Source organism: Homo sapiens, chromosome 6, assembly GCF_000001405.40.
Source record: "Homo sapiens chromosome 6, GRCh38.p14 Primary Assembly".
NCBI classification, from domain to species: domain Eukaryota; kingdom Metazoa; phylum Chordata; class Mammalia; order Primates; family Hominidae; genus Homo; species Homo sapiens.
The window spans coordinates 161,370,186-161,385,401 of NC_000006.12; the positions used below are offsets into that span (position 1 = coordinate 161,370,186).

At 49.2% G+C, this 15,216-nt stretch overlaps 1 protein-coding gene across 6 annotated transcripts in view, besides 2 other annotated features; it reads right to left on the reverse strand.

Moving 5' to 3' along the window:
* Nucleotides 1-15,216, reverse strand: part of PRKN (parkin RBR E3 ubiquitin protein ligase) — a 1,380,350-nt gene that overhangs the window by 22,769 nt on the left and 1,342,365 nt on the right. The gene's annotated exons all lie outside the window — the stretch shown is intronic.
* Nucleotides 3,648-3,797: an enhancer, noted in NCBI's record as "active region_25413". NCBI's record gives its function as "activates an Ori minimal core promoter by ATAC-STARR-seq in GM12878 lymphoblastoid cells {active_cell/tissue: GM12878}" and the evidence as "EXISTENCE:reporter gene assay evidence [ECO:0000049][PMID:35858748]".
* Nucleotides 4,992-5,532: an enhancer, noted in NCBI's record as "H3K4me1 hESC enhancer chr6:161796209-161796749 (GRCh37/hg19 assembly coordinates)". NCBI's record gives its function as "activates a minimal SCP1, AML or CMV promoter by ChIP-STARR-seq in naive H9 embryonic stem cells {active_cell/tissue: H9 hESC(naive)}" and the evidence as "EXISTENCE:reporter gene assay evidence [ECO:0000049][PMID:30033119]".

Genomic DNA, 15,216 nt, shown 5'->3' on the forward strand with positions numbered 1-15,216 from the left:
GAGTTCAAGGCCAGACTGGTCAATATAATGAGACCCTGTCTCTATAAACACACACACACACACAAAACTCCACTGGTAAATCAAAATGTACTTATATAGGTTTTAAAAGCTGAATTAGGCTGGGCACGGTGGCTCACACCTGTAATCCCAGCACTTTGGGAGGCCGAGGCGGGTGGATCACGAGGTCAGATCAAACCATCCTGGCTAACACGATGAAACCCCATCTCTACTCAAAATACAAAAAAAAAAAAAAAAAATTAGCCGGGCGTGGTGGCAGGCACCTGTAGTCCCACCTACTTGGGAGGCTGAGATGGGAGAATGACGTGAACCTGGGAGGCAGAGCTTGCAGTGAGCCGAGATCGCGCCACTGCACTCCAGCCTGGGCGACAGAGCAAGACTCTGTGTCAAAAAAAAAAAAAAAAAAAAGCCGAATTAGCGCCTAGGAGACACATTGATATACATTGAAGCTAGAATAACTTAAGGAACTGCATATGTGTTATCTTTCCTGCTTTAAGAGAAACTCATTTGTGACACCTGTGTAGCCAATAATTAGACAAGTCTATTCTAATCCTAAAAATCCATTTAAGCCTGTTTTCCAAAAAAGAGCAGTTGTCATTAATCATGAAAACAGAGTTGGCTTAATTCAGCTATGAATGCTTTCAGGTGAATGACAGCTTTTAAATGTCAGCTTTCTCATCAACGCTCGCCTCTCTTCTCACAAACACTGAAACCTTCCACCTTTGCAGACAGCAGCCTTCCTGGCTCAGTCAAGCAGGTGGGCCAGTTGAGCACTGCTGCGTGTGAGCAGCCCGCCTCCTGCTGGTGAGTAAGAAAATGGCATCACTTTTCAGGGGCCTTGAGCTAGTCAACGTTACTGCTTGGCAACGGGTGTCACCAAAACATGTTTTGTTGTTCTCACATTGTCTTATGACTATCTCTTTTTGGAGAATATGTATATATGTATATATTTAAATGTATTTTGTTATTTTTTTTTTTGAGACGTTGTTTCGCTCCTGTTGCCCAGGCTGGAGTGCAATGGTGAAATCTCCGCTCACTGCAACCTCCACCTCCTGGGTTCAAATGATTCTGCTGCCTCGGCCTCTCAAGTAGCTGGGGTTACAGGTGCCTGCTACCACACCCGGCTACTTGGGAGGCTGAGGGAGGAGACGGAGTTTCACCATGTTGGCCAGGCTAGTTTTGAACTCCTGACCTCAGGTGATCTGCCCGCCTCCGTCTCCCAAAGTGCTTGGATTACAGGTGTGAGCCACTGCGCCCGGCCTATTTTGTTATTTTTTTTAAGAGAAATCATCAGAGTGTTGGGATTTAATGGGGTGTCTAGCCAAGGGCTCCGGGGAATACAAGGCTACACTGTAAGCAATACAAGGCTACTCCACTAAGCTCCAAACTCCCCAAGCCATGCTTTAGAATGCAATTCAGAAGGGCATTTGTTTTTATTTATTTATCTATTTTTGAGACGGAGTTTTGCTCTGTCACCTAGGCTGGAGTGCAATGACACAATCTCGGCTCACTACAACCTCCACCTCCTGGGTTCAAGCGATTCTCATGCCTCAGCCTCCTGAGTAGCTGGGATTACAGGCATGCACCACCCCACCTCGCTAATTTTTGTATTTTTAGTAGAGATGGGATTTCATCACTTTGGCCAGGCTGATCTCGAATTCTTGACCTCAGGTGATCTGCCTGCCTCGGCCTCCCAAAGTGCTGGGATTACAGGCATGAGCCACCATGCCTGGCCCAGAAGGGCATTTTTGACAATGATTCTAACAGTGGTGATTTCTGCTAGGAGTGGAATGTGTGCCAAGTGCCACAGACGAGATCTTACAGAGTCTTGCCCCATGGGGCCCTAAATGCTTCCTAAAGGGGAAGTGAATTAAAATAATATCTATCAACCTATTTTGAGATTAATGGGGGAAATGGAACAACATAAATATTAAGTAGCAGAATTATTAATAGGTACCATTTATTGGTTATTTTAAAAGTGCTTTGTGTTCAACTATTGTTACAAGTTGACATATGGGAAAAATCTACACTTGAGCTAGAAAATATGCTGATTTGTATTTTTGATAATGACATTCTCTAGTTTTTGGTTGGCTTAGGTCAGCAGTGACCAAAATTATCCACATAGATGGGATTCTGAATGCGGAATCATCACTAATAGGATGTGAGAGGGGTCAAAGCCGACCACAGAGCCTACCTTTTGTGCAAAGTATAGTTATTCTGGCACAAAGTAGACTATTATTTTTGCTAGAGTGAATGCAGAAATATTTTCATTCAAGAAACATGTGTTGGGTGTCTAAGATGTGCCAGGCACTGTCCTGGACCCTGGGGATACATCCCAGTAAACAAGAGAGATGACAAATAGCAAGCCAACAATCCCTGCCTTGTGGAGCTTCCCCATTAGCAGAACGGCGGCTCTCAGACCAGCGGCACCGGAAGCGCTTGTGCTGTGGCTCCCCCACTACCCCTCTGGGTCTGAATCCATAGGTCTGGGATTGCGCTCAAGGACTGGCAGTTCAACAAATTCCTAGGTGATGCCGATGTCGCTAGCCTGCAGAGCTTCGGAGAACTACTGCTCGCAGAAGGTCTACATACACTGTGGTCAACAAAGACAGAGAGACCCTATTTTTTTTTTTTTTTTTTTTTTGAGACAGGGTCTCACTCTGTTGCCCAGGCTGGAGTGCTGTGGCAAGATCATAGCTCACTCTAGCCTGGAAATCCTGGGCTCTCGAGTAGCTGGGACTACAGGCACATGCTTCTGTCCTCTGCTGATCTTTAAAAAATATTTTTTGTAGAGATGGGGTCTCACTTTGTTGCCCAGGCTGGTTTCGAATTCTTAGCTTCAAGTGATCCTCCCACCCTGGCCTCCCAAAGTGTGGGGCTGCCGGTGTGAACCACCACACTCGGTAGGGCAGAATTTTTCTCTTCTCTGGGAAACCGAGGTCTTTGCTCGTCAGGCCTTCCATGGACTGGGTGAGGCCCACCCACATTATAGAGGGTCATCTCCTTGACCTCAAAGTTAACTGAGTATAGATGTTAACCACGTCTACAAAAATACCTTCACAGCGACACCTTGACTACTGCTGGTTCCAACAACTGGGCTGTGTGGCCCAGCTACATTGACACAGAAAATTACCCATCACAGCTAGGCTGAAACTCATGTTTAAGACTAGATCTGTTTGACTTCAAGCCCCCTCTGCTTGTCTTGGATTCCTCAGACACGGGTGGGAACACCTAGTCCTTGCTGAAAGAAGGTAAATGCAACCCTGGAGAACAGCAGTGCTGAGCCTAAATGGGCTATGCCTCTGTGCTTACAGGGGTGCTGAGTTTAAACGAGCTATGCCTCTGTGTTTGCAGGGGTGCTGAGTTTAAATGTGCTATACCTCTGTGCTTTGCAGGGGTGATGAGTTAAATGGCCATGCCTCTGTGCTTGCAGGGGTGATGAGTTAAATGGGCTACACCTCTGTGCTTGCGGGGTGCTGAGTTTAAACGGGCTATGCCTCTGTGCTTGCAAGGAACAAGTGTAGAGCAGGTGAACCGTTTTCCTCACACATGGTCAACATGCTTTTCTGTGGAGTGACAATATTTTGTCCCCCCTGCCAGCCCCGTTTTTAATGAAGGAATTATGGGGGCCAGGATCCAGCTGTTAGCTTTTCAAATCTGCACACCTCTCAGAAATGCTCCTCCTGGGGACACAGTCCTTCGATTCCCTCTTGCCTGTTGTCGGCTGGGCCACTATGCAGGCGTGGCTGGGGTGCCTTTCAAAGTGGCGTTCACTCCCTTTTCCCCCAGGTCATTTTATTTTTGTTTCTGGACAAATCCAGCATTTTCCTTAAGGGTTTAGCGCCATCTGGTGCATCAGAGGCGCACTGCAGCTGCTTCCCTCCTGATACTGAGTGGGGTGTGCAGAGAATTGCCAGGGGCGCTTTCCTTTGAGGAGCTCCAAATGCCCGTGGGGTATGCGGTGTGTATGTGAGTGGCGAGTGTGTGCAGTGTTATGTATCTGTGTGTGGTGTGTGTTCTGTGTGTATGTGTGTTGTGTATATGCGTATGCTGTATGTGCAGTGTGTGTGGTGTGTATGTATGTGTGTGTGGTATATGTGGTGCGCGTGTGTTGTGTGTGTAACGCATGGTGTGCATGTTATGTATATGTGTGCGCCGTGTGTGTTGTGTATGTGTGGTGTATGTGGATGTGGTGTGTATGTTTATGTGTGTGTGGTGCATATGTGTGGTGTGTGTGATGGGTGTGTGGTGCATATGGGTGGTGTGTGTGATGGGTGTGTGGTGTGTGTGGTGTGTGTGATGTATGTGTGGTGTGTGTAATGGGTGTGTGGTGCATGTGTGTGGTGTGTGATGTGTGTGTGGTGTGTGTAATGGGTGTGTGGTGCATGTGTGTGGTGTGTGTATGTGTGTATGTGTGTGGCATGTGTGATGTATGTGTGGTGTGTGTGTATGTGTGATGTGTGTTATATATGTGTGGTGTGTATGTGTGATGTGTGCGTTATGTTTATGTGTGTGGCATGTGTGACATATGTGTGGTGTGTGTGTGTGTGTGGTGTGTAGCTGTGACAATAAGTTTCTATAAAAATATTTTCCACATTGCGAACTTGTTCTAGCTGCTTGTTTATGGAGTCTAGTACACAGGGTATACAGGGTATAGACTTGCAAAGTCGGTTCAGAATTTACATTCAGACCTTTTTTACCAACTCTGCTGGGATCCTGAAACCCCTCTGGAATCCAAAAGCCTTCAGGACAGCATCATTTTCAGAGGAGGGTCCCATGTGTCAGGCCAGGCAGGCATCTGGTGGAGGCTGCACTGTGGCCGTGCAGAGGAAGACTCAGGGGACCCGCAGGCTGTGACCCCTACAGGTGAGTGAGCTCAGGGGACCCGCAGGCCGTGACCCCCACAGGTGAGCGAGCTCAGGGGACCCGCAGGCCATGCCCCTCAAGGCAGAACTCCTGGGGGTGGAGGGAACCCCCCGGGGGTGCTGAGGCTCCTGCAGAGGGAGGACGCCCCTGGCCGGAAGCTGCACCCCAGGGAAGTGCGTTGCAGAGCCTTGGTGCTCTGCCGTGCTGGAGTGACAGTCCAGAAGAGAAGAAGGGTTTCTGCAGTGCAGGAGAGCGCTTGGAGAGCCCCAGCCCCAGGTCTGCATGGTCAGGATCGGCCTCCAGGGGCAGGCGTGTGGTGTCACTGTGTGTGTACCCACGCAAGCATGCCTTCACTTGTCTTTCAATCCCAGTCAATCTTATCTTTCCTTTCCTCTCTCCACAGTGCCTGACAGTTTTAGCATTCAGCCTTAAAAACCCAAACCCCCAAGTTTCACCATTTTGTAATACTTTGCAACTTACAAACGGCGAAACACACACTCATTTCATTATTTATAGCTTGGTAGATCTTACTGGCTCTGTGTGGCAGGCGACGAAAAGGCTGTGAGCCTTTGAGCAACTTGCCTGGAAGAGGAGGAAATGAAACCGGGCCTTTGACGACCTGCCAAGGGCCATTTCTGCTGCCCCAGAGCAAACCTTCGCACACAAGCTGAGTGCCTTGGAAACGCACTGCAGAGGGGCGGGTGCTGTCCTGGCACTGACTCAGCTTTTCACAGCGCAAGGCCGAGCCCGAACGACGCGCTGGCTTTAATGGAGATCTGTCGCAGCCGTTCCATCCCATCTGCACATCCACTTAGGCGGCGGGTCCAGGGTCATGGATTCAAGAGAAGTGGCATCAAACCTGCTTTACTTAAACCAACAAGCAGTTCAGAAAATACACTCCCAAATAACCGGGGATCTAGATCTCCGGGAATAATAAATTACACCCATCTCCCAATACTGGGACTGCATTTGTGTGTGAAGGCAGTCAATGGCTGAGAGACGGCTCTGCGGTGAGATGCTGGGGCAAAATAGATCAAAAAAGATCTCAGCTCCCTGGAGCCACTGCTGCTTCAGTGTCCTCCACTGAGGGAGGTGCACCTCCTAGCCTCTCCTGGACTGTAACTCTGAAGGGGTGGGTGTGGGTGTGGGGAGCATGGATAAGGGGCAGTTCGTTGGAGATTGTCAGTCTTGCATCTTGATCGCTGGCTCCAGCCTGGATTCTCCTCTGAGGTGGTCTAGGCATCCACTCCTTTCCCCACTGAACCCCTAGCTGAGATGTCCACAATGAATGTGTGTCTCCCCGAACAACCTGCTTTTGTTTCTGTCTCCTCTTCCAGCCAATGGCACCACCATCGTTCTAAGCTAGACATTCATGCATCAACATTAACCCGTCTCCTCTCATCCTGTCTTCTAATCCACTGCCAAGTTCTGCAGATCCGACCTCAAGCCCATCCCCTCCTCTGTATTCCCTGGCCGGATTCCTGGTGCCTGGTGTGTCTCTGGTTTGGCCCTTTTAGGGGGTGCTCTGCTCTGCTCCCAGTCCCACCACCTTGGGACTGAGGTCACACCGTCACATCACGGCGATAGGGCAGCTCACGCCCAGTGGTGGAGGGTGGATGCGAAGGGCTCACCTCTAGCCTCCTACCTCTGGCTCCCCTCAGTCTTCTGTGGCAACCGCACTGCAGTGGGACTCCACCTCTGCCCAACCCTGCTTCCTTCTCTTCCTGAAGGTGCTGTTGAGAGCACCCCAAGACACTCCCTGCCTGCAAGTCTCAGAGCCTGTTCTCCTGGGAACCTATAACCTGTGGCACTTGGTGCCTGGATAGTCCTAGGAAGCAAACTCTAAAATGGAGTTAGAGCTGGAATCCCTCCCGCCAGTGGCCAAAGAGGAGCCTGTCACTGTTGGAAGAAAGTGCTGGAAGCTCTGAGTGGGGCCCCGAGGAGCAAAGGGCAGGGTCAGGCGGCATGCAAGCGCCCTGTCTCTGCGGCTGTGCACGCAGGCAGACCCTGTGGATTCCAGGTGTCTGTGGAGGGAAAAGAGGTCACGTGGGGCTACCTGCGGGCCAATAAGAGCATCCCAGCAAAGATTTTGGGGGTTCAGCAGCTGAGAACGATGGACCATTTGAAAGAGAGCCCCTGGCACGCTACCGAGCCCTGTGGAGTTGGAGCATCTGTGCAGCAATTGTCATAAGACAGAAGTGGGGCATCTAGGCCCAGGCCCAAGCAGGCCCACGGGGCGTGAGCGAGCTGCACAAGCAGGTCCTCAGACCCCCGTGCCATCCACACCGTGGCATGACTGCCTCTCCTTGGGCTCACAACCATGGCCCCACGGTGGTAGTGGCCGGGCTGGGGAGATTCCTTATGACACACTGAGGGATCCAAGCTTGGTTCACAATTGAGTTAGCTTAACATACGGCTGCAAGCCAAAAATGCACTGTCGCTATCCTGTAATCCTCTTTAGGGTTGAAAGAGTGGTGAGGGGAGACCCTGTCAATAAGCAGAGCCTTGGGCAACGCAACTGCTATGGTCCGAGTGTTTGTGTCTCCCCAGATTCCTATGTCGAAACCTAATCACCAAGGCGGTGGGATTAGGAGGTGAGGCCTTTGCAAGGTGATTGGGTCATAAGTCAGAGCCCTCGGGAATGGGATTAGTGCCCTTATAAAGAGAGGGCATTAACCAGTCACCTCTCATCCTGTGAGGCCCCAGAGAGCTGTCTTGCCCCTTCTACCATGTGAGGGTATAGCTAGAAGACGTCATCTACAAACCAAAAAGTGGTCCCTCATGAGACCCCAAATCTGCTAGTGCATTCATCTTTGACTTCTGAGCCTCCAGAACTGGAAGGAATAAATGTGTGTTGTTTATAAGCCAGCCAGTCTACGGTATTGAGTGACAGCAGCCCAAACAGATGAGGCAGCAGCTGACAGTGGACTGTGTGTGGAAAGGAAAGAGTCCTGAGTTAGGAAGAGATACAAGCTCCTAAGCAGTGGCAAACGTCTTGGCAGCCTCTTTAAGGGCAGGGACAGAGAAAATCTGGAAGACTGAGGACAGGTAAGACAAGGAGCTCTGCAGAGCAGGCACGTGGACAGACCCATGGGAGGGGCAGGACATGTCCGCATGTTTGCACAGCATGGCAGAGCTCACAGGAGAGCACTTCAACAAGCAGATGGAGGGATCCGGCCAGTGGACCACTGCCAGCCTCCGCCACTGGCCACAGCAGTCCTGGGCCAGGGCACTCCCGTGTGGAGGAAGCGTGGTGGTGAGGTGAAGCCCTGCCAGGCCCCCCAGCTCGGGCATCCCCCCATCTGCCACACCGCCAACATTCAACCTGCCGGCAACAAAGAGCGGCACGGAGTCCTGTGTGTCCTCCACTCCTCGAGGAGACCAACTAACTGGCCAGTGGGTGTCAGGTGGATCACAGTGACACCAGGGAAGATGAAGACACTCCATCTTGACAGGAAGTGACTCCTTTTCTGGGTGTGGGTTTGCCTTTCTTGGCAACAGAGCCTCAGCCAGCACTAGCATCTGCAGGCTGCCGGCACCCTGCATGGCACTGCATTGTGTCCCAGTGGGTGCATACCCATGGGAACACTGGTCCTGTCACACATCCTACTGCCCAGAAGCTGTTGACCTGATGAGACGGATGGACCAGGCTTGCACGATGCCGCTGGAGCTGCACTGTGATGTGGGCGCTATCCTCTAAGGTGAGATTTACACTCTGAATCAACAACTACCATGGTGCAGGGTGTGTCTCCAGCAGGTAGAACGCAATGGTTCAGGAATCAAGGGGTGGAAGTAGGGACGGCCCCACTTCTCACTCCCAGTGGTCCACTTGGAGTTTATGCTCTCCATCTGTGCAACCTGGCCTTGCATATATAGGGGCCCTGGCTTCCAGCAAGAGAGTACTTTTGCCAGAGAACACAGCAAGAGTTCTGGTCACTTTATGTTGCATTGCCAAGGGATTAGCAGGCTAGAAAGGGAGTTGCCATCCTGGAAGGGGTAACTGACTCTCAGGAGCAGGCAGGGCTGCAGTTATAGAATGGGGTATTTAAATGGGAAGAATGCATTTGGCACCCAGGTGGTTCACTGTGGCATCTCTTGGTCCTCCCCTGCCCAATGTTGATAGCAAATCATTCAGTAGTCATGGCTTTAGAATGGCACCCAGGAGCCTGGACCCATCAGGGATGATGTCTGTGTCACCCCACCAGGTAAGCCACCTAGAGGTCTTCTCTAAGGGCGAGGGGAATCTAGAATGAGTAGGAGAGAAGGAAGTCAATGGGAGTCAGCTGCAACTTCAAGACCAGCTGTGGCAGCATGAGCTACATATAGTTTACCCTGCTAACCTTCCATTTGTACATTTCTCCAGTCTCTCTCATTCCACAAGCAAATGTCTCCAGGCAGTGCAAGGGGCAGACGACAGCAGATGCTGTGAGGCTGGCCAGACCCCTCCTCCAGGACTGATATCCCTGCTGCTGGGTATGTCCGCAGCAGACAGCTCTCTGCCAAGTCTCTACCCGGGAAGTGCCCCCAGCTGAAGAAAGCTGCTTCACCCAAAGCCTTTCTTCCTTCTGCGGGAAGCCCACATCGAAAACCTGGTCTATGCATAGGGATGTAAGGCCTGACCACTCTGTGTCCATGCACAACAACTCAGAAGGCTCATCCAGCTCCAGAGCTCCTTCTAGGACCTGCTGTGGCAACTGCACGGCAGTTCAGCCTTCCTTCAAACTGCTTCATGCGATTCCCCACAGCATCCTCCAGTACACAGTCTGCACTCGAATCTCAAGCAGCTCAGGGTTTTCTTCCTGGAAAACATGTACTATTACAATTCCCTACTAAGTGTTTTTCATATTACAGCCAGAGATCTTTCGAAAGCACCCATCTGATGACGTCAATCTTTAAAAAATCTCCAGATGCCTTCTCACTGCCCTAAATCCCAAGCTCCTGCCTGTGGCTGATAAGGCCCTTCATTTCCTGGCTCCGTCTCCAGCCTAGTCTGTGGCCACAGCCACCATCACTTTATGGCACAGTCAAGGGAGTGTCTTCCACCTCCCTGAACGTGTCATTCATGCTCATCTCCAGAACTTTACACACCCTGTCCCTTTGCTTAGGACACCCATAAGTTCCTTCCCTGCCTGAAGAGCTCATCCCTGTAGGTCTCAAATTTCACTTCTTTCAATGAACAATTCCTCCAACCCCGTGGAGAACTGGCCAGGTCCCACTTTTATGCTTCCAAAGCATCCTGAACACTCTCTCGTGCCTCTTAGCATACAACATTTTAATTATTTGTCAAACTGTTTTTCTACTTCACTAGATTACAAACCCTATGAGAACAGTGGCCAAGTCCAAAGTCCAAGTCTATCTTTTTTTTTTTTTTTTTTTTTTGGAGACAGAGTCTTGCACTGTTGCCTGGGCTGGAGTGCAGTGGCAACCTCCACCTCCCAGCTTTAAGCGATTTTCCTGCCTCAGCCTCCCACCAAGTCTATCTTTAATGTTGTATCCAAAATGCCTAGTACTATGCGTGGTAATAAAAGGTGCTTTATAAATGTGTACTGAGCATCCTTCTTCTTCCTTCTTTCCACTAATTATAAGAAATTCACAGTTGAAATGAGGTTCAAAGGCACATAATGTAGGAAGTGTAACACAACGTTGCAGCCAAAATTCCACTTATAGATGTGTTTAAGATTTAAAAAAATGTTAATTCTCAACATTTAAAAATAAAGATATTTAACAAAAACGCATGGATTTTATGCTACTGACATCACAAAATCACACTGGAAGGCCTGGTACCATTGGGCTCACATTTCTGCTGGGTAAACATGGACCTGAACTGGGGAGCTGTGTAGCAGGTGTCTCCCCAACACCCCACAACAAGCCATGCCCACTCCAGTTTGCCACAGACCACCCCCACCCGCCCCAGCATGGGGCTATGTGTCATTATGCTTGCAGGCTTTTGTGTTGATGTGTTTTTGTTGTTCTGTTTGTTTTAATAGGAAAAGCAGAAGAAAATGAAATTTATCTTTGCATCCTTATCAAAATATTGACAGGTCCATGAAGCAGGCTTCAACTCTGCCTCACTCATTTAAGGGTTGTGTTGCTGTTGGCATTTGAGTTGGCCATCCCTGGTATTGTGTTTGACAAGCCAACAACAGCCCACTCATCCCCCTCTTTCAAAAGGCAGAGTGACCAGTAAGAACAATGGAAGCGCATTTCTGCTTCACTGGGACTGGAGTGGTCATCAGTGCTGGCTGGTGCAGCTCCCAAAGACCTGGGTAAAATAATGGTCTGGGGCTTGTCAACTCTATGCCCCTGGGTGGCCACTCTCCCTCCCTCTCCCTTGCCTATGGACAAAATCTATCACAAAAACTTGAGATAAGCCTCAGAATAAGATGGTGTACGTGAAAGTGCTTTGTAATCAAGCACGATACAAGTGCATATCCCAAGCAAATTATTATATTTATCCCAAGCAAATGGTGGGTTTATTTTTCTAATTTAGGAGGCAGATGGAAGGAACTGAGGTTTACTGTGGAAATCTAATTTTCTTTTATGATTCAAAAGATTACTGAGACATAATCCAGCCCTGAAGCTACTGTCTATTCTTTTCCTGTACTTACCCAGCTTCATGGTAGGGAGGGAGGTGTGTGGATGAAGGAGGGATTTGTCATTCATTCAACAAACACTTAATGAGCACCTACTCTGTGCCAGGCACTGCAGGATACAGGATGCGACAGGCACAAACCCTCCACTAACAAAGCCCAGACTTTTTAGGCCGGGCGCAGTGGCTCATGCCTGTAATCCCAGCACTTCGGGAGGCCAAGGCGGGTGGATCACGAGGTCAGGAGATTGAGACCATCCTGGCTAACACAGTGAAACCCCGTCTCTACCAAAAATACAAAAAATTAGCCGGGTGCAGTAGCAGGTGCCTGTAGTTTCAGCTACTTGGAAGGCTGGGGCAGGAGAATGGCGTGAACCCGGGAGGCAGAGCTTGCAGTGAGCCAAGATAGCGCCATTGTAGTCCGGCCTGGGTGAAAGAGCGAGACTCCATCTCAAAAAAAAAAAAAAAAAAAAAATCAAAACAAAAACAAACAAACAAACAAACAAAACAAAGCCCAGACTTTTTGTGAAGATACAGAGAAACGATATTTCAAGTGACGAATGTATCAGAATGTACAGTTGTCTGAAAGCTTACAGGATGTAGTGGGGAGGGCAGATGGCTTCTGGGAGGAGGTAACATGATCTGGGCCTAGAATGTTGAGCAGGAGGCATGGTTGGTAGGCAGGCATGGGCACATTCCCCTCAGACACTGTAGATCTATTAGAGAGAGCAGTTGCTGATCCCCAACTACTTAGGTAAAGTATAGCCACTGAAATTGATCTCTTCTGCGGCTTTAGAGAGCACCACTAAAAATCTGGAAGTCTCAGTCTGCACTCCTGCTGAATAGGGAGAGGAACATCAACTACCTAGAACCAGTTTATGTGGCTTTTGCAAGAGCAAGTGTGTAGTTATTAGCAAGCCTCCAGGGGCAATACGCGGAAGGAACTGGAACACGGGGAGGAGAACAAGCAGGGAAAAACAAGGAAAGCAAACGGGACTGGACTCTCGTTAGTCTGTGATGGATTGATCTTCTGTCACTGCTTTCCCAAACTCCCAGCAGTTTCAACGTAAAGCTTGTTCAATATTTTAAAACCAATTTAAAGCCAATTTTTGAGTTTGCTTTAAAGAATTATTGCATTAATCAAAAAATACATTAAGTTTTAGGTCCAACAGTCTAACTGATAGGAAAAGCTGATTGGGACTCAAGAGAAATGGGCTCTCCTGGCTGGAGCATGTAATGTGCAAGAACAGAAACCAATCAATGCTAAAGGGAAGAACAGCAGAAACGAGTCACAAATGGCTCAAAGCAAAGAACCCTGCAACTGAATGGAATTGAAAGAAAGTGTGAAGAGGGCTGATGAGGGTATTTAGTTATTATTAGCAAAATTCAGATGTGAGAACACATCTAAAGCCTTCGGTTCCAAGGGAGGCTGCAATTGGGCTTTCATTGTGAGATGTGTAGAGTGTCATCCTTTCAAAGATTTCAGGTCAATGAAACTGCAGAGGTCATCCTCCTGGAGACCATGCTGCTTGAGAGAAATGTAGGGAACAGAAAATAAGCCAGCTCTATGAAAATAAAAGCCCTTCATTCTGTTATCAAATCGAATTGGGTCATGAAATTTGAAGAAATAGCTTGTTTGGTTCGTGCCTTCCCACATCCAAAAGCAGCTATGGTTGAAATAAGGAAACTTGGGAAGATTGGTAAATTCGCTCATAGAGAAGGTGCTGGTAATTCTGTATTCTTTCCCCTCTCTGCTTTGCATCTGGAAGGCTGGCTCCCATGGGCTGTGCCCCTAGGATCCCTTGTGTCTGGCTTCGGTGGGGTATGGCCCATGGGAGACATTAGCAAGAGATCGGATGGCAGGAGGCAGGAGGCAAGATGTCCATGCTCACTCCCTTCCTGTGTGGGGCTACTTCCAGGCAACGCTGGATGCTCCGTGATGACACCTCCTGTCATGAGGCCCCTTCTCCATGGCTGCAGCTCATGGGGTTCATGGGACTCTTCCTCCCCCTGCCTTTACAGGCCTGGGGTGGTCATGGCTCCCCAGTGATGCTCGCTCTGAGGCCCTCAGCCCTGTGATGGTTCCTGTGTCCCCAGCCCGCCTCTGCAGGTCATCCCTTTCATTAACATCTCCTCCTGTGCCCATCTGGGTTGGCTTCTCTCTCCCGAGGGACCCTGACCGAATCAGAGACGTAGGAAAACATGGCAGCAAAGACCCCAATTAGTTGCTTTCCGTTGTCTGGCAACTGTTCACCAGCAGACATCTTTTTAGTTTGGCTGGTTGGTTTGCTTTGTTTTCAAATAAGAGGAATTGGAGGCTGGCCCTGTGATCAGGAACCAGAAGCAGGAAGAGCCTCATCTCCTGGGGGGGTCTAACTGCAGGGCTGCTTCATCCTGAGTTCTTTCTGGGATGACCCTGATGTGGATTAACTATACCTCCTCAGAATTCCTATCATGTCAGTTGCTTGTGCAACCTCTGTGGCATCTATTGAAGCCGTAGAAACTCCATGGGAGCAGGGACGTTGTCTTACTCTTTGTCCCGAGGGCCTAGAACCATGCCTAACATATTACGGGTGTTTAATGCATATTTGTTGAATGAATGAAATAATGTCTCATGGGGCGCAGTGGCTCACGCCTGTCATCTCAGTACTTTGGGAGGCTTGCTTGAGCTCAGGAGTTCAAGACCCCAGCCTGGGCAACATGCTGAAACCCTGTCTCTACAAAAAATACAAAAAGTAGCCTGGTGTGGTGGCATGTGCCTGCAGTTCCAGTTACTTGGGAGGCTGAGGTGGCAGGGTTGCCTGAGCCAAGGATAAGGAGTCTGCAGTGAGCCAAGATCATACCACTGCACCCCAGCCTGGGCAACACAGTGAGACCCTGGTTCAAAAAAAATGAAATAATGTCTCTTTCTTTATAGATGCTGCCATCACTCAACAAACCATCTATTAAATGTCTGTGCAGCAGATGTCATCTTGGGCCTGGAGACACAGGGGAACAGAGGACACAGTCTGGTTGAAGAGGTTCTGGCTTCTGCAACTTTGCCCATGTGGCACCCTCTGCTGGAATGTCCTTTACCACACCATCCTGCTGTCCTGACCAACTCTGACCCATCTTCTGTGACTTTTCCAGGGAAACCTGGAAGTGTTTTATATAAAGCTATAGAGTTGCTAAGCTTTGGTTTAGCATATTACTGTAATTACGATATTCATTTTCCAGTAAATCTCCCCCCATGGCTCCCCTATGAGCCTCTAAAGGGAAATACACTTTTCTTTTCTTTTTTTGAGGGGGTGGGGATGGAGTCTCACTCTGTCACCAGGCTGGAGTGCAGTGGTGCGATCTCAGCTCACTGCAACCTCCACCTCCCGGGTTCAAGCGATTCTCCTGCCTCAGCCTCCTGAATAGCTGGGATTACAGGTGCACGCCACCACACCCAGCTAATTTTTGTATTTTTAGTAGAGACGGGGTTTCACCATGTTGGCCAGGCTGATCTCAATCTCTTGACCTCATGATCCGCCCACCTCGGCCTCCCAAAGTGCTGGGATTACAGGCATAAGCCACCTCGCCCGGCCGGGAAATATACTTTTCAATGCATTTTTCTAGAGAGTCTAGCAGCTGCTTGACCCACCCAAATGCTCAACTTAATGTCTGCTAATTGACACTATTTGCAGACACAGTTCCCCCGATGCTGGACATCTATGGTTTAGGTCATCTCTAACTTTCTTTTTCCTATTTTTCTGAATCCA